General features: G+C 44.8%; 2 protein-coding genes across 11 annotated transcripts in view, besides 1 other annotated feature; one reads left to right on the forward strand and one right to left on the reverse strand.

Moving 5' to 3' along the window:
- SLC36A1 (solute carrier family 36 member 1) overlaps positions 1–23109 on the forward strand; it is a 211490-nt gene that overhangs the window by 183193 nt on the left and 5188 nt on the right. For all 3 annotated transcript variants that reach the window (XM_017009217.2, XM_047416925.1, XM_011537595.3), the window contains one exon: positions 11465–11507. In XM_017009217.2, the coding sequence (XP_016864706.1) occupies positions 11465–11507 (43 nt within the window). The remainder of the gene's footprint in view (positions 1–11464; positions 11508–23109) is intronic.
- The window catches only part of FAT2 (FAT atypical cadherin 2), a 90728-nt gene that overhangs the window by 23697 nt on the left and 43922 nt on the right, over positions 1–23109 (reverse strand). For 6 of the 8 annotated variants that reach the window (XM_017009225.2, XM_011537600.3, XM_017009224.2 and 3 more), the window contains 9 exons: positions 22802–23083; positions 21507–21717; positions 14497–18549; positions 12779–12975; positions 10005–10158; positions 6621–6854; positions 3799–4182; positions 1390–1604; positions 208–345 (listed from right to left, as the gene is read on the reverse strand). In XM_017009225.2, coding sequence (XP_016864714.1) covers positions 208–345; positions 1390–1604; positions 3799–4182; positions 6621–6854; positions 10005–10158; positions 12779–12975; positions 14497–18549; positions 21507–21717; positions 22802–23083 — 5868 coding nt within the window. Of the gene's footprint in view, positions 1–207; positions 346–1389; positions 1605–3798; positions 4183–6620; positions 6855–10004; positions 10159–12778; positions 12976–14104; positions 14185–14496; positions 18550–21506; positions 21718–22801; positions 23084–23109 lie in introns of those variants that run through there. The other 2 variants (XM_017009227.2, XR_007058588.1) reach the window with 2 other exon arrangements.
- Positions 3490–3659: an enhancer, noted in NCBI's record as "experimental_82563 CRE fragment used in MPRA reporter constructs". NCBI's record gives its function as "activates a minimal promoter by MPRAs in K562 erythroleukemia cells, with activity observed for the introgressed 5:150910924 variant allele {active_cell/tissue: K562}" and the evidence as "EXISTENCE:reporter gene assay evidence [ECO:0000049][PMID:34662402]".

Below are 23109 nucleotides of genomic sequence, written 5' to 3' on the forward strand. Positions count from 1 at the left end.
GGAAGGTTACGGGGTCACTCAGTCCCTCTCCTGCCTCTGGCCTCACAGTCCACAGAGGCCCCACAGAGAAAACAAGTGAGAGACATTCTGGGAAGGTCTGAGGAAGTTTCAGGATGGGGTCTTGACAGCGATTCATCTTCTGGACCTGCAGTGGGACTGTGTCTCTGCTCTAATGAGCTCAGGGTGCGCCCCTCCCACATGACTCACCTGTTCCCGGTCCAGGGCCTTGGCCACCTGTAGCTCCCCCTTTTTGGGGTGAATGGTGAAGTGCCCAAGCTGGTTCCCTCCTATGAGGCTATAGGTAATGTCACTATTTAGGGGTCCATCTTCATCAGTCGCTGATACCTGCGGTGGGGTAGGGGGATTGTGAATGGAGGGACAGGAATCTTGACCCCTGGGAGTACAGGGGGAAACAGATATGTCCCTGCCCCAGTGACTGCCTTTGGGCTAGCAGTGCCTGGATCACAGTTGTCCCTGCCAAAGTAATCTCTTCACTTACATCCTCGTGTGGACTTCAGCATGCCATGGTTTATTCATTCACTCACCATTCACTCTTGCTAACAGCATGCTAGGCCCTGTCCTAGAATGTGAGGAATGTGCTAAAATGAATATGCCTGCAGGAAGTTTAATGTCTAATTTTATGGGTAATTCTAATTTGGAGTAAAGTATGATCAGCCTTATAAGAGCACACAGTGATATATTACACTGGGGAGATTAGAAAAGGACTCATGAAGCCCTGAAGGATCAGGAGGTTCTTTCGGGGCTGGAGCAGGCAATCCAGGAGAGGAAATACTGTGAGCCCAGAGTGTGGAAGTGCAGACGATGTTTTGGGGAAAGGTAGATATTCCTGTGTGGTTGGAGCATAGGGTGCACCATAGCAGGGAGTGGAGGGAGAGACTGGAAGGTGGGATGAAGAGTGTGGGAGTATGGGTGGACAGAACTGGGTTTCACTCCATTGAATGAGGGAGTTATTGCATATTTAAATGCAAAGAGGTATTATTTGGTGTCCCCTCAGTCCCTGCCCCACAACTGTCATTCCACGTCACCCGCTATGACCAGGCCCTTCCCAGGCTTGAGAGCCTCTGGCAGTCCTCTGGGGTCTGTCTCTTTTTCTCTCTTCTCCTAACAAACCTCGCCTATCCCATGCCCCATTCCATTGTCTCTGATCTTATCATATGGCTCTGAGACATTCTCTCAGGAGAGATAGTTTGGCCGAGCATTGTTTGGCCATACTCAAATCTCACATAAACCTCTGACAAGTCAGAGTCAAGTCTACAGTGTATTAACTTAATAAACTAATCCATGCTCATAGATGGCTGGGTGTGGGGGTGAGATAAGAACCCATCCCAGAGTTCTTGTCCCACAAAGAGCAAGGTGGCAGATCCTTACCGTGAGGATGACGTCACCCACAAGGGCATTCTCTAAGACCCTTGTGCTATATGGATCTTGGGGGAATTGGGGCCGGTGTTCATTGACATCAGTGATGTTGACCATGACTGTGGTCACGTCACTGAGGGAAGAGGAGCTCTTCCGGCTGCACTCAATGGACAGGAAGTACTTGGGGCTTGTCTCAAAGTCCAGGCTTGCGTTGACATACAGGATCCCTGAAGAAGCAAGAGGTGACAGCAGCAATGAGGCAGTTGGGCCCTCAAAGGCGCAGGACTGAGGGTCTGAGCCCAGCCCTAGGAGAGGCAGCTCAACAGGGCTAGGCAAGGTAAGTGTCCTCTGTCATCTCCCCATCCATCTCCCTTTGCTATCCCCTTGACCCCCTTCCCCATCATCTCCCTCATTTTTCTTTATTATTATTCACAACAGCTATGTTTCCCTCACTTACTTCTGTAATATTTGATTTAAATCTCATTTAAATGTGTGATGCTAAATTTATCTCATTGAGATCTATAAAAACCCTGTGGAGCAGGGACAATTATGATTCCCATTTTCTAGGTCAGTCCATTGACCTAGATGCTCTAATAGGCAAGTGACTTGTCCAACCTCACCCAGCTAGTAAATGACAGACCTCAGGGCATAAAATGAGATTCATTAATACTCAAAGTTGCCCACAAATTGTTAGGGCATAGGTTATTATTCTGAAAACTGGAAAAAAGAAATAAAAGAACAAGGATTTATCCTGCCTTTCCCGGCTAACCAAATAGTTAATGGTGGACACTCTGCTTTTTGTTTTATTTTATTTTTCTTTCAACAGCATCACATGCCAATGAACATCTTTTTATAATTCAGTCAGAAAATAATGAGGAGTAATAGGATTAGAAAATCACCATTTTACAGCCCTTAATGAAAAGGTATATCTATCTAGGAAATGATTAGCAAAGCCTGCTAAAACCATTAGAAGAAAGGCTGATGAAGAAGTCTATAATGGCCTTATATACCCAAATTATAACTATATATTCATATATAATGGATCAGGTTGACAACACCTGAACTTACCATCTATCTTAACACCAGAAAAAAAAAAAAAAGCCAGTTAGCTCTTATGTGCGTCCAGACATGATGCAAACAGCATAGCATCATCTGTGAGGCACTGTGTTGATCAAGCACTGTCAACTAAACCTGATCAAGGCCTTTGATCCAAATGTCATTCCTAGGAAATACAAGGACCTGAGGGATATGCTATATGACACTATAAAGAGCCAACCAATCCAAACGATGGAAAATTCTATTAGACACATGACTCAACTGTTTCATTAAATAAATGGCAGGGGGAAATAAAGAGGAAGAAGAAAATGTTAGAGATTAAAGGACACTTAAAATCTTGCATATCAACCAAATTCAGTATGTAGATGTTTTGGGGATACTAACAAACCAGTTTCGAAAAGACATTTATGAGAATCTGAAAAATGGCCTGGTGATATTAAGAAATTGTTATCTTTTAGGTGTGATAAGGTATTGTGGTTTTGTTTAGAAAAGGAGTTCTTATTATACAGAGATACACACTGATGTCCTTACAAGTGAAATGACACAGTGTCTGCGGTTGGATGGATGTAGGGGCCAAAGGGTAAAGAGGAAACCAGGCTGGTCTCTGCAGATGATTACTGAAGCTGGGTGGTGGGAACACAGGGCTCATTGTACTATTCTATTTTTTAATATGTTCAAAATCTCCATGGTAAATTTTAAAAAATATTGCTCAATGATAAGGCAGCTGTTTGGGGAGGTAGAGAGCACCATTCCAGGGGAGCCATGGGGAGGAATCTGTGTGAGACACAGGCTGACCTGGGTGGCCTCTGAGGCCCTTCGGTGAGTTTCTGTGAACCTGACTTTGAGTCTTCTGTGGCTAGTAGGAAAGAAGTGAGACGGTTTCCTAGTTCTCTCTCTCTTCAAGAGAATAAGGGAAAATTAAGGGGTGCCAGGATGTTTGGAGTGGATGTGGGGACTCCAGGAGGGAAGCAGGCAGCCTTGTCCAGGGTTGCTTAAGCCCCAGATTCCAGCAAGGGCTCCCTGCCTCTGCAGCCAAGCCGTTTCTGCCTCCTGCGCTGGGCCTGAGCTGAGACCATGAAGCCGCTAACTGTGTGGGAGGAGAGTGGATCACTGAGGGTCCTGGACACAGAGACCTGGCTGCGGACGTGGGAGGGTCCCGTTTAAGGGAGGCTCCCACATAAGCTGGCCCCAGGGTGGAAGGAGGGACCTGGTACTCGGAGAGAAGCAGAAGAGAATGGAGAAACGACCAGAGGAGGTCTGCTCTGGGAGGCGCTGCACAGGGTAGATACCCACACAGGGGAGGAACCCAGCGCTCCCAGAAACCCTGTACGCGATGCTTTGGGGCTTGGTGGATCAGGCTCTCACCTGTGCGAGCATCCAGGCGGAACCTGCCTTGCTCGTTCCCGCTGACCACGCGGTAGCCGGTCTTCTCTGCGCCCGGGCGAGTGAGGGTGGCCAGCTGCAGCACCTCCGTGCCAGGTGGGGCGTCCTCGGGCACCTGCACGCTGTGCTCGGTGTTCAGGAACACGGGCAGGTAGTCTTCTAGGCCCACCACCGAGACTGTGACGGTGCCCAGCGTGGACAGCGGTATTGGGGTGCCCAGGTCAGAGGCACGGACCGTGAGCTCCAGTGGTGCCTGGGGCCTGACCTGCAGCGGCTTTTCCAGGCGGATCACCCCCGTGGTGGCGTCGATGGAAAAGTGGCCTTCGGCTGAATCCGGCAGAGAGTAAACCACCTGGGCATTGGCGCCTGGCAGGGAGACCAAGGGTGTGATCCACACTGAGGGCGCCTCCTCTGGACCTGCCTGCAGCAAACCCTGCAGCCACAGGAGGGGCTGGGGAGGGGCTCCCATGAAGGCGGACAAGCTGGCTTGGGTATATGAAGAGTGAGGGTCTCTCCAGCGGGGTGTCTTGACTGGGGCAGGGAGACCCAAGGCCTCACTAAAATGCTTTTGGGGGAACCTAATCTGCAAATCTATCAAACTATCCGAAAATATTATGTGGGGATTAGGGTCTAATATCAGTTTATTAATGAAAAATATGCAGATAAAACCACCCATAGAGAGTTCCTTGACTGAGATAGAACAGCTCTGTATCTTGATTGTGGTGTTGGTTACAAGAATCTAAACATGGAATAATATTGCATAGAACTAAGTGTGCGTGTACAAACACACACACACACACACACACACACACACGCAAATGAGTGCATACAGAAACTGGTGAAATCTGAGTAGCAAGGCTGTAGTCTAGTTACCAACAATGGACCAATGTCAGTTTTCCAGTTTTGATATTATCCTACTGCTATGTAAGATGCTCCCATTAGGGAAGCTGCATGAAGAGGGCACACAGTCCCCACCAGTCCTATTTTTGCAACTTCCTATGGAGTCTATAATTACGTCAACATAAAAAGTTAAGAAAACACCCATGGAAGTTCTTAGTAAATCAAAACACACAGTGTTTCTCCAGCTTTGTCTCCAATTCTGTTATTTTCTTTGGTTAAGTACCAGATGAAGCAGTTGGCCATAGTGTAGGAAAAACACCAACATTTAAGGCTCGGCTGTGAGGTCCTCCCCCAGTGAGATGAACACACGCCCTGAGCCTAAGGGTCTCACGTCTCCCACACACGTGGAACACAAACTTCTCTGGTGGAATGGTGACAGGAGTAGCCTCTGAGAAGAGTTGAATTTATATCCATTAAATGCACATGCCATGCAACTTCCCCATATTGGCACTTATATGAAGAAACCATAATTTTTCTAGAGACAGAGAGATGCTGGTCAAACCACACCTGGATTATTTAGTTGAAATATTTGGGTTGGAATAACCATTTTGGAAAGATTAATGGTAAGTTGATATAAGGCCACTCTAGGAGCTATCTAGGAGATCTGTGTGATTGTAGAGGGCAGGACCAGGAATGACAGATGTCCCACTTGATAATGGCCTGAGGAACCATAGAAGGAAGGGGCTGCTTAGGAAGTAGGGAGCATCCTGTCCCTGGAGGTGTGTAAGCAGTGGCTAATGGAGCACTTACAGAGCCTTGCAGCCATTAGATGGAGACGTAAATAAGATGGCTTATGGGTCACTCCAGCTCTGATGTATTCCAGATCTCTCCTATCAAACCCATTTCTGTATCTCAAGCAAGTCTATTCCACTTGCACTTGTTATCTCCAACACACACACACACACACACACACACACACACACACACACACACGCTTTCCAGGTCCAGCCACCCTGCCTTTGTGTTGACTGTTTGCCCTCCCTAGAACCCCTACATCCCTCGAATATCTCACCTCCTTCAATGCCAAGCTAAAACTCACTTTCTCTAGGAAATCTTAATTTTACCCTGCTGGTGTCAAACAGAGCAGGGTGTTTTGATCCCACTTTTATCATCATCATTTTCCTGTGTTGACCTGGCTATTCTGATGCTGAGAGCATTTTTTTTACCCTATCTGAATTATAAAATTTGACTCAGGAAAATTGGACAGGTTATATACATATATATATACATACACACATACATATATATATGTGATATATATATATCACATTAATGAGTTATATATATGTATGTATACATGCAGGTATGTATATACAATCAGAATAGAACACTTTGTGGTAGCATAAGCTATAATTGGTACAATATGGAACAAATATGTTTGAATGAATGCAATTTACCTTGTAAATTTTAAAAGAAAAAGAATTAACTCCAATGAAAATATGGAGTTAAAATGTAAAATATTGAAAAGGGTTCAACTTCACTCTTCAGAAAATTGATCAAGGAATTTAATGGGCTTACTGGGGTTGGTACCCAAAATTCCTTTCTTGAGGCAAATCAATCAGAATTGAAGAAGTCTGATTGGTATATTTCTGATTAAATGTTTGTACTTAAAAATGCCTTTGTGGTTAAATGGCAGTATTGAAAAGTCCCCAGGTCTAAGTGGAAGGGGAGAAACAATAAGGCTGAAATACCTTTTTCCTGCTTCAAAACATTGCTAAAATCATTTGTCATATAGCACTTAGGTGTGCAGTTTGAGGATAAATACTTTTTACTTTTAAGTGTCCCCAGACTCAACAAGGAGGCACCGCCCTTACCAGTCCTAGAGAGACACAAAGGGGACCAAACCCTTGCCCAAGGTGACCCAGGAGATCATTGGAAATGGCCTCAATCCTTCTCAGACTCACCTTGGTCGGGATCCCGGGCAAATACTACAGCCACAGGGGTCTTCACTGTGGTGTTGTCGAAGACAGCCACAGCACAGTGGCTGGGGAAGAACCGCGGGGCATTGTCATTCACATCCTCCACATGGAGGGTGATGTCTGCCTGGCACGATCGGCCACCTCCATCCGTCGCCTTGGCAACAAGGTTGAACACATCCTTCCTTTCTCGGTCTAGGGCAGTGAGTGTGGTCAGCTCCCCTGGTCGGAGAAATGACAAAAGTTGAGCTTTCTCTGGGGAAATATTACCCAAGCATGTGCCCTCTATATATCTACAGGAGACAAACCCAGCCACACAGAGTTTTGTTCACAGCAAGGAGGGGTCAATACAGTCAGGAAAGCAGCTAAGCCTGTATCCCCCCATACCCATTCTCCTCCCTGATTCTCCCAAACACACTTCATCACATTGCCAGTTTAAGATCATCATCAACAAGCTAAAAATAGGTATATTCTTAATGGCCAATTAGGCAATTTCTAACAATATATAAAATGCATTTATCCTTTGGTTCGTAATTCCACTTCTAGGAAAATATATATATATATATATATATATATGTATACATTTTCTATAGAAAAATCAACCCAAAGATAAAAATCTATGTATAAGGATATTCTCTGCAGCACTGTTTATAATAGCAACTATTGAAATCATCCTATATGTCTTTCAAAAAGGGACTGGTTAAGTATATTATGATTTAGCCACACAGTAAAACACCATGTGTGGTGTTATAAGTGTATCTTGGTTTTCATGCATGGCTCCTGCCCGTAACTCCCACAGCCCTTGTTACACACTCTTTTGTTATAATGTTGGGTGTGTTATGTTAGGCCTCAGGAAGCACAATCTCTTTGACCTTCTCCTGCTCTCCTTTCACCTGCCCCAAAGCAAGATTCCCATCTTTCCCCCCTTTTCTAATTGTGGGTTTTAAGACCCTCCCCAGAGAGTCTCCTGCCTTATACCCTGGGGGAAATAATGCTGACATCATGAGGCTCCCATAACAACCCAAGATGACTGGGTTCCGAGAGCTTCCATATAGCTGAACACAGGGCGGTTCCTGGAGGGTGGTGCGCCCAGGGAGGACATGGGAGCCCCTTTCCTCATGCCTCGCCCTACACCTCTCTTCACCTGTATCCTTTGCAGTATCCTTTATAATAAACCAGTAAACACAAGTGTTTTTCTGAGTTCTGTGAGCTGTCCCAACAAATTAATCGAACCCAAAGAAGGAGTCGTGGGAGCCCCAACTTGAAGCTGGTTGGTCAGACATTCTGGAGGCCTGGACTTGCAACTGGTGTCTGGGTAAGGGGGTAGAGTCTTGTGGACAGAGCCCTAAACCCATGGGATCTGACACTATCTCCAGGTAGATAGTGTTGGAATTGAATTAGAGGACACCTGAGGGGTCTCCGCTGCTTGTTGTATGGGGAAAACCCACACACATTTGGTCACAGAAGTCTTCTTTGCTGATGATTGGTGTGGTGTGAGAGCAGAGGAAAAACCTGGTTTGAGAGAGGTTTTTCCGAAACACCATATAACCAAAAATGAATTATGATAGAGCTTTGAGATACTGCTGAGTGAAGAAAAGCAAGTTACAAATAGTATTCTACTTTCATGAAGTAATTATATAGAGATTTTGGAGATGCATGGAAAACCAGTCAGATAGAATATATACCAAGAGTCCTTATCTGTGGAGGAAGGGGTTATCATGCAGATGTTCCAGTTTCTGCATAATACATACCTACATTGCTTCAATTTTATACCATGAACATGTATTATTTCCATATTCAGAAAAAAAAACGCCATTTTTTAAAGTCCTTACTGATCATCCTGAAGCTGAACAAAGAGCAGCAGAGAGAGGTTAAATAACCTGCCTGGGTCCCTCTGCCTGTCCCTGCTGGGGTTAGGAAGGACAGCATTGTCCCCTATCTACCCAGACAGCTTCCTGCGACACCCTTCTCCCCTGCCACCCCCTGCTCAGGTATCTCCAAGTCATCCTGTGAGCTACTGGGCCCAAGCCAAATGTCAGCAGCTGGCCCTTGTGACCTGGGCCTTCTGTGCTGCCCATCTCCACACCCTCCCCTGCAGCAGCAGGGCAGGAATCCCTCCTAGGTGGGCTGCTCTTCCAAAGGAAGTCCACTCCACCAGACTCTCACAGCCCAGCCTCTCCTGGCTACTCCTGGCCTACCCTGCAGGAATCTCTGCTTCCCACTCTGCTCTATCTCTTGGCTAGTAACAATGATAATGGCAACCCATCCACTGAGCCAGACCTGGGCTAGGCTTCCATATGCTTTCTCACCTGTGTTATAACAATTCTATGAGGTGTTATCCCTGGTTTGCAGCATAGATACCTTGAGATCATGTTCTTGGCCATGACACTCACCTGCCTAAATCCTCCAGTGGCTCTAAAGGTGGGATTTGGCTCTGCCCACCCTGGGGCCTCATTCTTTGTCCTCTCTCCTCCCTCTCTGGGCACCAGTTTCTGGCCTTCTGTCAGGTCCTCAGTGTGTGTACTATTTCCCCAAAGAAGGTCTTTGTATAAATTCTCCTGCCTTGAGTGCCCTTTCCCCCACTCTCTTACCCCTGGCTAACACTTCTGTGTCCACAAGTCTCACATAAAGTGGCATTTCCTCAGTGATCTTTTACTTAAGATCCTCCGTAGCCAAAGTCAAGTTCTGCTGTCAAATATTCCCATAGCTAGCAAAAAGACAGAAAGACAGAAAGAAAAAGAGGGAGAGAAATACAGAAAGAAAGAAGAGAGAGAGAGAGAAAGAAGAAGAGGAAGAAGAAGAGGAGGAGGAGGAAGAAGAAGAAAAAGGAGAATAATAAGAAGACGATGGTGGTGGTGGAGGAGGAGGAGGAGGAGGGAGAGAGGGAAGAAAAAGAAAGAGAAAAAAAGAAAGAAAAGAAAAGAAAAGAAAAAAGAAGGAAGGAAGGAAAGAAACAACGAACAACGAAAGGAAAGGAAAGGGAGAAAGGAAAAGGAAAAAAGGAAAGGAGAGGAAAGGAGAGGGGAGGGGAGGGGAGGGAAGGAAAGGAGAAACCAAGATGTCAGCTGTGCTAAAATAAATTTTAAAAGAATAAAATAAATCCCCTTAGCATTCTGCACTTTTTCTTAATTTAGCACATTTAAAACCACTGATTCAATGACCCCCTTTCCCACTAGATTATAAAGGCCCAAATCTTGTCTTATCAATCTATTTATTATGTCCCCAGTACAATGCTTGGCACATAGGGCCAATATATGTTTGCTGATAGATGAGTGAATTCCTGTTTCTTCTCCAAGGAGAATACCATGGCACTGGGCACTTGGTATTCAGTAAAGAAGTTCTTGTTTTGATCCTGCAGCTCAGGAAACCCACCTGTATGAGGATCCAGCTTGAATTCATGCGCCCCAGGGCCATGCAGAGAATATGTGATCTGAGCATTGGTATCAGTGTCCAAGTCTGTGGCAGAAACCTTCAAAATGAAGTGTCCTGGAAATACATCTTCATGAACCTTGCCAGTATAGAGAAGCTAGAGATGGAAAGACAAAGAAGAGGGAGACTGTGGGGACTGCATTCAGATCCAGAGAGAAGCAGAGTGACTGACTGAGGGAGGCAGAAGCAGAAAGAGAGACACTAAGAGGGCAGAGACGAAGAGAGACAGAAAAAAGAACAGAGACAGAGAGAGAGAAAGAGAAGCAGAGAGAGGGAGGGAGGGGAACAGAGGAGGTAGAATAAGATGAAACATGCAAGGAAAACTGAGGTTTAAAACAGGAAGAGGATGACAAGAGAACGAGTCAGAAAAGAGAGAATGGAGAAGTTCTGTCATCCAAAAGCCCACAGGCAGGGCTAGAAGGGACTGCTACAATTTCTTCCACCCAGTCCTTTGAGGCTTTTGGAGAAGGAAGGCAAGATGGGCCTGATATAGGCATTCTGGAAGGTGTCAGGTCAACCTCCCCTGCCTCTGTGGCGAGGCCATGCTATTAAGCTCATCTCCCTGACCGTATCCCCAGGACAGACCCTTGACCTTTGAGTCAGGTCTGGACTCCAGTGGCCCCATCGCTTGGCCCACCCTCCCTTTGCTGCAGGTACCGTCATGGCATCTGAGGGAGTGGCAGAGGGGAAAGGCTGGAGCTCCCTGAGAATTCAATTTTTCTTCAGTGGCTGGCAGTGAGCCAGCCTGCAAGCATCATGGTTTCCACCACTGTTGAGTGTGGGCAAGCATGGACCCCTACATGCCCTGGATGGAAGCTTTATTTATTTTCTTGTTTTCTCTTTTTTGAGACAGAGTCTCACTCTGTTGCCCAGGCTTGAGTGCAGTGGCACGATCTTGGCTCACTGCAACCTCCTCCTCCCAAATTCAAACCATCTCCTGCCTCAGCCTCCTAGGTAGCTGGGAGTACAGGTGCGTGCCACCACACCTGGCTAATTTTTTTTTTTTTTGTATTTTTAGTAGAGACGGGGTTTCACCATGTTGGCCAGGCTGGTCTCGAACCCCTGACATCAGGTGATCCGCCTGCCTCGGCCTCCCAAAGTGCTTGGATTACAGACGTGGATGGAAGTTTTATGTGTGGAGATGGTTCCCCAGGCCTCTTTTTTCTGTTCTAGTGATGCTGTGAACCATCTCCGGGAGGGCCAGGGTGAGCCTGATCTCAGCCTCTCCAAGCATGGGGAGGACAGAAGTTGGTTGTAATGATGGCTGAGGGAAAAGAGAAGGAAGGTGACCACCATTCTCCCCAAAAAAGCCTCCCTTCTGAGACTACCCCAAATATGGTCATCTTGGATCCTGAAAAGACATTTTGCATGCATACCAATAACCAGACTCTCTTTTTCTACAGTGCTTTTATGTGACTGGCATGTAGAAGAGTGGAGGAAGAAAAGGTGAGGAGATATATGTATTTATGTGTGTTGCAAGGTATGTGTCTATACATTCATATGTGTGTGCAAGCAAGTCGAAGTTTGTATATATGCAAATGCATATGTAAGTATGTTCATGTGAATTTGTTACGTATAGTTGCATGTGTGGGTGAGTATATGGTTGATTGTGCTAGGTATATAGGTATATGCTTATATGTTTATGTGTATATATGCATAGGTATTTGCCTGTGTGTATAGGGTTGTAGATGATCCTTTGTGTATATGTGTGGGTATGTATAACTGTGCATTTTTATATATATACTGAATGGCTGGATTATGATAATTTGAGATGTTATAAAATTAAAATGTTAGCAGTTTAACTTTATCTATAAACTTTGAAAGAATGTAAATCCTCCCAAAGTTAAAAACTACTTACTGTGTTTTAAAAAATATGTTTAAAAGCAAAGCTCCATGACAGCAATTGTTGGTTTATGCCTCTAGGAACACAGCTCCTCTCCTGACAAACACACATACACACCCCACTCAACATTTGTTCCTGCTGGAAATTTAGAGTTGAATTACATGAGATCCTTAGGAAAGTATCCCTCACCAAATGAAATTGCCCTGTCTCGTGTTTGTGTCTCTGTACAAGTGAAGAAGGGCATCTCAGTGGACTAAATTACCCCAGCAGATGTGAGGAGGTGCATATATGGGCATGGGGTGAGGGGTTTGTCTGGGGTCAGGTCTCTGTTGGTGTATTTGATAATAGTGAGCCATGTCAACAAGTTGAGCAGTGCCAGGGGTTTGCCCATTGGGCATGGCTGGCTGTATTTGGAGAATGCTTATGTTACTTTCCTTCTGGATATGTTCTGCAGAGAAATAGACCTTTGTTGGGAATGTAGGGGGAGAGATGTGGGCCATGAGTCTTGAACAGCTTGGTATATCCCTATGGGGGCCAAGGAATTACCTAGAATGGTCCCTGCCCCTGGGAGCTAGTCTGAGGCTTGCTGGGGAGAAGCAAGAGAGGTGAGGTCAGTGATGGCCAGCCTCAGAGATGGGTCCCTCGGTCCTCCTTTCTCCTGCCCCTCACTCTCTGTTCTCCTGCCCCTCAATCTCCCTTCTCCTGCCCCTCACTCTCTGTTCTCCTGCCCCTCAATCTCCCTTCTCCTGCCCCTCACTCTCTGTTCTCCTGCCCCTCAATCTCCCTTCTCCTGCTCCTCACTCTCTGTTCTCCCACCCCTCACTCTTATCTTCCTTGCCTTCACTACCCACTCCACCCCTCGCCAGGCTCTCACCTGTGAACACTGTGGGCTGTTATCATTGACGTCCAGGACAAAGATCTCCACAGTGACCGAAGCCTGGAACTTGCCATCAGATGCTGTGACTCTGAGCAAGTACTTGGCTGTATGCTCGCGGTCCAGGGTCTTCCTTGAGGAAATCCTCCACTCATCTCCAACTTGGCTGATGCCAAACTGGCCCAGGGGGTCTCCCTCTAAACAGATGGGGCAGAGCTTTCAGAAGCCAAGCAATAGGAATGAACTAGGCTTTGTGTCACAGGTGGCTGCCCATTGGATGCATTTTTTAGAATTGTTGGGAAAGCAAACATTTCCTTCCTTAACTAGGAACCCACGATTCTACACTGAGTCCACTTTTTGGTGTTATGAAGCTACTTCTACTTCAAATGCCTCCTGTTGAATGAAATTGTCAATGCAAGAAGCATCACTTCAAAATATGTGGCTGAAGGCAGGGTTTTTTGTTTTGTGGCCCAGAAGGCATGGGAGGAAGTTAAAGGGAAACAAATTTCAATTCTATATAAATGTCTAAGATGCATAGCTATACAACAGTGGAGAGATAGGAAGCAATCAAAAACACTAAACACTCCAAGGTTTTATTTTATAACTAAGGACCCACCCTAAGTGGAGGTTCTGTAGGAGCACTAGGGTTTGCTTGTAAGTCATCTTTCTTTCCTTGACACTAATCACTGACAAGAATGTGGGAATATGGATTTCTCACTCTGAGATCCTAAGATTCCAGAGTTCTAAGATCCAACTACTCCAAGAATTGATAACATGTTGACATTTATTACTCTATTATCCTGAGATTTTAAGACTTCTGTGTTTTTAGGAGTCTGATATTTTAAGATGATAAGATTCTGTTTTTCTACAACTCTGTATTTCAAACAGCTTTGATCCTATGTCTTCGGGAGTCTGTGGTTCTTGGTTGGAATTTCAGGCTCATGGGCTTTTCACTGGACAGCTGTGATAGCAGAAGGAGCCATGTTCATGGGAATGGGGGGACATGGCACCTGGGGATGAGAAAAAAAGGCCACAGGAGTGAAGAAACTCTCTCATGGCCACTGGTTAGCTGGCTTAGCCACTGGATTGGGGATAGGGTAATTTAGTTTTACAGTAGGTATCCACTAATGAAAGCAGCTTATAGGGTAGGGTTTTAATCCCAGCCCTGAAGCAAGCACAAGAGTGTGACCTTGGTTGAACTTCTCCATCTGGGCCTTGGTTTCCACATACGTGAAATGAAGGAATTATATCTAAGGAAGTGCTGTCATTCTTACACTTAGGACCTGTGATTGACTAAGAAGCATTTTCTATCATTCACAACTTTACCTGGGTAGGACACTCTCCATAAAGACAGTCGCTTGACAGAATTTTCAAGGATCATGCAACATTCTTGGTGCCTCCTCCATCTTTCAAAAGACAACTGACAGCAGTTAGAGTATGACTCATGTAAAATAATGAGACATACTTTTTGCAAAGCACTTTCTAATGTATAGGTGCTTTCTAGAAATTACAGATCTTACCAGCATGCCTGTGAGGTGAATGAGAACATGCATGCCAAGTCTATAGGTGGAGAAACTGAGGTCCTAGGGGGTTAAGTGTGCCCAAGGTCACACTGCTAATAAGTGGCAAATCCAGGACATGAACCCATTTTAGGGCACCTCTTCCTGGATGTTTTTCGATACATTCCAGAGCCTGCAGTCCATGACAGGTGTTCTTACCTGTGATGTAGCAGGTGACCTGCCTGTTCTGCTCAGAAATGTCAGCATCCAGGGTCTTTAGAGTCGCCACCAGTTCGCCAGGCTCACTGTTCTCAACCACAGATCCTCTGTACTCTTCAGAAGCAAATCGGGGAGCATTGTCATTCTCATCTGTAATGGAGACCTGAACCAGGGCCTGAGAGGATAGCTGGATGGTCTGTCCGTGGTCATAGGCCACCACATGAAAATGATAAGTCTGGCAGGTCTCACAGTCAAGTTCCTGGAGTGTGGTGATCCAACCACTCTCACTGTCAATGGCAAAGAGCTCATGGACATTGCTACCAGGGTCTGCAGACAGCCTGTAGCTCACCTGGCCATCTCTCCCAGTGTCCTTGTCAATGGCAGTCACTTGAATGACTGAGGTCCCCACTGGCATATTCTCAGTGAGGACAGCCTTATATGGATCAGCCTCAAATACAGGCCTATTGTCATTGACGTCTCCCACTTGGATGTTGACAGAGACCAAGGACACCACATCAGTGTTCTGAAGGCAATGTGCCATCACATCAATCTGGTACAATTTGGTGGATTCGTGGTCCATGGGCTTCCTCACCTTTATGACCCCTGTGTCTGGGTCTAGGGAGAAGACACCATCCTTGTTGCTCTCAGGTGTAGTGCCCCGCACTAGACTGTAGATGACTGGATCTTGAGCTGCCACTGCTTTAACAATCCCAATTTCAGACCCCTCTGGAAGGTCTTCAGGTGCAGAGAAAGTATACAAAGGTTCAGAAAATTTCGGTAAGGATACTTTTTTAGGAACCACCTGAAGTCGTACTGGCACCAGAGAGTTCCAGTGAGGAGGGCCTCCATCTTGGGCTTTGATGAAGAAGTCAAGGGTCTGATTTTCCAATCCCACCAGGCTGTCTTTCACCTTGACCACACCAGTGACTGGGTTAATTTCAATGACATCTTTAACTAGGTCCTCTGGGTTCACTGAGTAGGTGACATCTGCGTTCTGACCTTCATCTGCATCATAGGCCAACACCTGGATAACCGGAGAGTCTTTACTGACATTGGATTGAATGGATACTGTGTACTCAGATGCTTTGAACTGTGGGGGGTTGTCATTTTCATCTGTGAGGATGATCTTCACCGTGCAGAAGGCTACTCTTCCTCCTCCATCCCGAGCCATGACCTTAATAGCAATGACTCTCTCTGTTGAATTTTCCCGATCCAGTTTCTGCAGAGTGGCAATCTGGCCATTGGGGTTTATGGAGAACTTCTCACTTGCTAGTTTATTGATGATAGTATAATCTATAGTGCCATAGGGACCACTATCTTTGTCTATGGCTAGCAAATCAATCACCTTGGTTCCAACCATTGCATTCTCTGCTAATTCTGCCTCATAAAGGTGCTGCTGGAACTCTGGGCTGTACTTGTTGGCATTTGTAGTGTTGATGTACACAGGCACAGTTGCTCGGAAGACTCCATCAGAAGCACCTACCCTCAAATTGTAAGAAGAGTCCAGGTGCTTTTTGCAAAGGTTGAACATAGAAATTATTCCCGATGAGCTGTTAATGAAGAAGTGCCTGTCCTGATTGCCAGAAAGAATCAGGTACTCCAGGCGGGAGGTGTCTCTGCTGTCAGGGTCAATAGCCTGGACTTTAAGAACCAGGTGTCCACAGGTTGCCAGTTCACTGACATTGGCTTCATATTGAGGTTGTCTGAACTCTGGGGGGTTGTCATTGATATCAGACACATTGACAACCACAAGGGTTTCACCAGTGAGTGGGGGATCTCCTTTATCCATGGCCCTGACTTTCACATGAAAGTGTTGTTGGGCTTCATAATCCAGTTCTTGAACTGTGGACATCTCCCCTGTGCTCCCATTGATCTGGAAGAACTTGGAAACATCTGAGCCATCCTCCACAATCTGATAAGAGACGTCACGGTTCCGCCCTGAGTCCTGGTCAGAAGCCAACAGTTGGATCACAGGGGTCTGAGCAGGCAAGCCTTCTGAGATGGAAGTGGTATAGACCAATTGGGAAAAAGTGGGAGGGTTATCATTGACATCCTCCACTAGGACTTCCACTGTGGCTTCAGAAAATGACCCCAGAGCTGTATCCGTGGCTCTGACTGTGAACACATGTTTGGTCTTGGACTCATAGTCCAAAGGCCCTGTTACTGTTAGGACACCAGTCTTGAAGTCAGTGGTGAACAGCATCAAGGGTTCTTCCTCCACAATGTTGTAGATGAGCCGGAGTCCCTCTGGACTCCGGGCCTGGGTGTGGAGAATTGGGGTATAGAGGGTGATATTTTCAGGTACTCTGACTTTGTAATAAGGACTCTGAAACAGTGGGTTGGATTTATTTCTCACAGTGACAAGTACCTCTTCCTCACTCTGGAGGGATGGCGTTCCTCCATCCCGAGCAATGACTTTGAGGTGATATTTATTTAAAGCTTGATAATCAAAGGGTTTCTTGAGTGATATGTCCCCAAGATAGGGGTCAATTCGGAAATATGTGTAATCTTCTGCAAATTCATATGTAACAGCCCCATTTGTCCCCAAGTCCTCATCAGTGGCAGATACCTGAAAGAGGACATCCCCTGGCTCTGTGCCATCTTGGATGATTGTGTAATAGGGCAGATGCTTAAATTTGGGGGGATTGTCATTGACATCCTCAATAGAGACTCTGACCAAACCCTGAGCCACCCGCTGAGGTGTCCGATTGTCCCTCACTTCCACTGCCAACTCATGAGTGTCCTGCTGCTCCCGGTCAAACGCCACACCTCTTGTCTGCAACACACCTGCTGACTGGACCATATGAAACATATCTGTGCCATTCAAGAGAAAGTAGGAAAGGGTGTCATTCAAATGATTGCCCTGGGCACCAAGAATCACCAGTGCCTTTCTGTCCTGCAAGTTCTCCTTCACAGCTGCCCAGTAGACATCCTGATCAAACTGCAAGCTTTTGTCAAGCACTTGGGTCAAAGAAATTTTTACCAGCGCAGTGTCTTGATACAAGCCATCAGAAGCCCTGATGGTGAGCTTCCGAGAGAGTCCCAGGAAAGCAGGATTCAGCACAGATATGCTACCAGTGACAGGATGGATGGTAACAGCTTCATCAGCATTGCCAGTTTTGATGCTATAATTGACTTCTGAGTCTTCATCGCTGGCCCGCACCATGAGAAGCTCCATGCCTGGATGGATAGGCCCGACTATTGCTACCTCATATATCTGTTCTGAGAATCTGGGAGGGGAATCATTCACATCTCTGACATGAATGATGACTTGGGCAGGTCTGGGTGCAAATAATACAGGGCTTCCTTGGTCATGGACATAGACACAGAATTGGAAAGAGGGCATGCTCTCATAATCCATCTCTGATACAATGGTTAGGGTTCCCATGCTGGGATCAATTTTGAAAAACTTCAAGGCCTCCGGCTCCAAAATTTTATAGACCAACAAGGAATTAGCTTCTTTGTCACTGTCAGAGGCATGAATCACAAAGGGGTTGTTGTTTTTATCCATGATCATGCTATACAGTGGAGCTGCTTCACTAATTTGGCCCACAAAAGTTGACTTTAAGAACATAGGAGCATTGTCATTTTCATCAATTATGTCAACCACCACCATGACATCAGTAAATGCACCTGCCATATTGCTGCCTCGGATTTTCAGCTGGTAAGACGAGATTTTCTCATGGTCCAATTTCTTCTGGGTGGAAATAAGGCCAGAATATGAGTTCATAGAGAAGACTCCATCCTTATTTCCCTCTCTTAACTCATAGGTAACTTCAGAGGGGCTCATAGCAGAGACAAGGAGGATTGGGGAACCAACAGGGATTGATTCAGGGATCTCTACAAAGTACTCAGATTTTGAAAAGATGGGGGCACTCCTATCTGAGGGATAGACATGAATGATCACTGTAGCCAGGTCATGCCATTGTGGGGAGCCTTGATCTTCTGCCTTCACTGTCAGAGTATGTGGGGCATGATTTGCCTGATCAAGCTTTTGAGCTAGAGTAATGATGCCTAGCAGGGCATTGATGTTGAAGAAACCTTCGCTGTTCCCTGAAACAGAAGACAAGACAAACAAGTTTGCCACACCCTCGACAGGTATCAGCTAGGCTTTCTAGATCAGTAAAGGGTCTATCACACAAAACCTGGACAGAGCAAAATCTGCATATAGTGTATACCCACCCTGGATATAGTGTATAGAGTAGATACTTTATAAAATCTCTAACATGGTGTGCATAGTAGGTGCTTCATATCACCATCAATTATCACTAAGTTTCTGGGACACAACTTAAGCTACAAACCAAAGCTATAGCAGGTCTTTGAAACCAAAAAAGGAGACTCCATAGGAAAACACACTCCACCCTGAATTTCAGTGATGCCTTTTGTAGGAAAAGCTTCAGTTTGCATCATACAGAATTTTTAACCATCTTTTGTATAACTTTTTTTTTTTTTAGAGTCAGGGTCTTTCCTGTCACCCAGGCTGGAATGTAGTGATGTGAGCATGGCTCACTGCAGCCTCAAACTCCTGGGCTCAAGCGGTCCTCCAGCCTCAGCCTCTGGTGGGATTACAGGTGTGAGCCACCGTGCCTGGCTACATTTTTAATATAATTTTTAATAGCTTTGGTTATATAGAACACCCATATCTCAAGGCTCCTGAGCAAATATCTTTGCCCCATGTGTGTATTTCCTAAACTCTAGGCATTCTCACATCACCTTTATAATTTTTTCAATATCCATCCATTGCCTATGTTATGTTACACTATTATTTAATTGATGTTTTCCTTTAAATTAACTCACTCAAATTTTGATAAATATTTTTAAAGGTAACATTATGTTGCTTCTTTAAATAAAAACACCATATTGCTTACCATAAATCAGAAGTTACCATAAAAAGAAGTCAAAGAAAAAATACCGTATTAAAATTGAGATAAAATCTACTGCTTGCCAAAAGGTCTGAGCCTGTGAGCTATCCTCTTTCTTTGGTAAACAAAGAGTGGCAGGTGTTAGAGAAGACTAAAAGACATTCTAGAACCCAACAGAGGCTTTGTTCTTCATTCTATCAGGGAGCTTGAATAATTTAAAGAGGAGTGCTTTCTCCATGCCCAATAATCTTTTAATGCCATTAAATGAGTAATACTTGAATTGTTTTGCTCACCACCACAGATACAGGCCTTACACTTGAGAAAATACTGCACTTTACATGTCTTATTCCCTCTATCACGTGAGAGCATATTTTATTATTTCAGTGGCAAGGCAAATGGCTAAGTTTTGTCATAAAACTTTCAATCTGATTCTTCCACCTTTGAAGCCCTTCTCCAGCTGACTGGTTAGGTGATTTGTCATATAACCGCTAAATTCAGTCAAAGAACATGGTTTTAATGAGTAGCCGTTTTAAAGTGATTCCATTAAAAGCAGCTAAGTCAACAACCTACATGTGATTCCGATTATAATTTATTATATAATATCACACTGCTGAAAGAAAGAAATCAGGGCACAAAATTGTATATTCATTATGATCTCAATATTACAAAAATATGCATAGGGGAAGATAAGAGGGAAAGACAGAAAATCATTCTTTTGGGGTGATGAAAATGATGGTTATGTGTTGTGTTCTTTATACATTCCTGTATTTTTCGTGTTTTCAAAAATGAGCATGTGTTACTTCTATAATCAGAAGAATATTTTAAAACTAATCTAATCTGGAAAATAAAGTCATTATCTCCATCAATGAGGTTGTCAATGAGATAAAAGATGTGATTTCATTTCATAAATCACAAAAAGCAAGCAATGCATTATAATCCATATTCTTCTTCAGCGGTGAATAGACTTCTGTTATATGGCAACTGTTTCTTCCAAAAAGAAAAGGTAAAGCTACTGGCTTTATACAGTACCAGTAGCTACTGTATAAGCTACTGACATGCAATAAATGAACATTAGGTCTTGTGAGGGCAGACAGCAAATTATTTTCTTCTTGGTTTCTCATAGCAACTAGCTCTATGAAGTATTATTATTAAATATAATTATTACTATTAAATATCATTAATTATGTATTATAATTATTACAAATTATCATTAATAATTAGTTGGATACTGGATATTATCGCTTTTGTTATAGTAATTGCTTATAATTAACACTTATCAATGATAGTAATAGCCCCTGGCATTTGTATAATATTTCAATTTACAACATGTATTAACATACATTTTCTTTTTTGAGATGGAGTCTTGCTGTGTCGCCCAGGCTGGAGTGCAATGGTGCAATCTCAGCTCACTGCAACCTCTGCCTCCCAGGTTCAAGCGATTCTCCTCCCTCAGCCTCCCGAGTAGCTGGGATTACAGGTGCATGTCACCATGCCAGGCTAATTTTTGTATTTTTAGTAGAGACGGAGTTTCACCATGTTGGCTAGGCGGGTCTCGAACTCCCAACCTCAGGTGATCCGCCCGCCTCGGCCTCCCAAAGTGCTAGGATTACAGGCGTGAGCCACCGCATCTGGCCAACATACATTTTCTCTTTTAATCTTTGCAATGACTTTCTGGCACAGGTAAGATTATTCCCGTTTTTGAGATGAAGAAACCCATAAAATAGATAAACCCATAAAATAGATACTAAATCACTGTGGAGCCTTATCAGAAAATAAAAATTACTTCTAAAACTATGCCATACACTTCATAAAGTGTTCTAAGATACATGCATGAAGTTATTACATTTTTAAATGTTGCATGGACTTCATAAATATCTTCTACATGTTTGGTCACTGGTGGGTTTATATAATATATATGCAAATTCTCCCACAGCATGAGTGGTCCTTACTCATATTGTAGTAATTATGTTATTACTACCTTTGGAAGTGCATTAATTTAGGTAGTCCCAGGGAATGCTCTAGAATTATTGTTTGCCAAGGCTTAATGAGCTTGGTACTTGATTAATTTGCGAATTCATGCCTCTAGTGCTTTCCTTTATTTCTAAAGCATCTTGACCCATCCTCTGAGCTCATGGCCAGGCCTCTCACCTTTCAGGAGGGAGTAGTGGACCTCAGCATTGACTCCCCGGTCAGCATCCATGGCTCGGACCTGCAGCAGCTCTGTGCCGGGGGCTATGGTGTCAGGAACACTTGCCTCATAATGGAGCTGAGTGAAGCGGGGTGGGTGGAGGTTTCCATCCTCCACATGAATGGTCACCCACACGAAGTTCCTCTTGATAGGTATTTCCTGGTCTCGGACCTATGGGCCCAAAGGGGGTAATTGGGTAAGCAGCAAATGGAATAGGAGGAGGCAGGGTTAGGGTAAGGTTAATGAACTAGAATGCCAATTTAAAATATGCCCAATTGTAACTAACTCCCCATATTCTTTTAAATGTTGTTCTAATCTATATGCTCTTTTTCTTCATTTATGTAAATGGATCAGTCAATGATTCCTAGGCTCAGCTGTTTTAATGGATAATTCTATTTTAGGAGAAAGACAGAAATAGGCAGAGAAGCAGTGTTTTCCAAATTACATCTCAGAGAATACTCATTCTTCAAGATGTTAACATGTCATGCAGGAAAAAAAAATTATATGGTCACATAAATTTGGGGAGCACTGAATTAAATGCAGTCAAACAGTTTTCTTTGTTGCAGGACTTCTCAGAGCCTTGAATACGTATTATATGCCCAGAGGATGATAAATTAGCACATAAGAACCCTGATCTTTAAGACAGGAGGCCAGGCTCCGATTCTGGTTCCATCATAAATAACTGTATGACAGTGAGGAAGTCTGTCTTTCTCTGTGGGTCTCAGGTGTAAGATGAGACAAATGGGCAGGGTCAGGGATAGAACTAGGGGGAAGCAAGTGAGGCAAGTAGGGTGCAAAATTTAAAGAGGCTCTGACTCTTGGGGTCATAAAAATGCAGGCACATGGCCCAGAGAGTGAGCCCTCCTTACATTTTGTGTCCTGCATGCCTTGCTGGCCTGACCCTAGTCCTTGCTCTCAGTGGGAGAGGCTCTGTGTCCCTTCCAGCTCTGACATTACATGAATCCACATTGTGTCATGAAGTCACTGAGCAGGGAGAGAGCTCTTGGGAAATATCTGGGGTGAGTCCAGAGAAAGCTGAGGTTGACAGGAGTTTCCTTGGCAGCCGTCCCATCTCTACCTTCACTTCCAGGCATCCCTTATGGAAGGTGCCCTTAGCCAGCTGTGAAATGTCACAACTCTGTCTCGTGCATGGTCCTTATGAGGGGAAGGGGGACCTTCAGCATGTCTCCAAGCATGTCCACCCCTACACATCTACATGCAAACGTATTCTCACCAGATTTTTCCATTTACTCACCATGACTGTCAGTGTGTGCTGGGAGGGCCCCGAGCCGAGGTCCAATTTTCCCACCGTTACCAGGACACCACTGCTTGGGTCCAGCTGGAAGAGGCTGGCACTTCCTGGGTCTTGGCTGCCATGTATGGTATAGATGAGGCTTTTGCCCTTGTCTTGATCTATGGCCTGGACTCGCAGGAGCTCTACCCCTGGCACGGTGTCCTGGGGAACTCTGACTTCATAACGAGTTTCCAGAAACTGGGGCCGATGGTGGTTAATGTTGGCAATCATGAAGATGTGGACCTAGGGAGGGAGATGAGGGAGAAGGT

This window comes from Homo sapiens, chromosome 5 (assembly GCF_000001405.40).
Source record: "Homo sapiens chromosome 5, GRCh38.p14 Primary Assembly".
Lineage (NCBI taxonomy): Eukaryota > Metazoa > Chordata > Mammalia > Primates > Hominidae > Homo > Homo sapiens.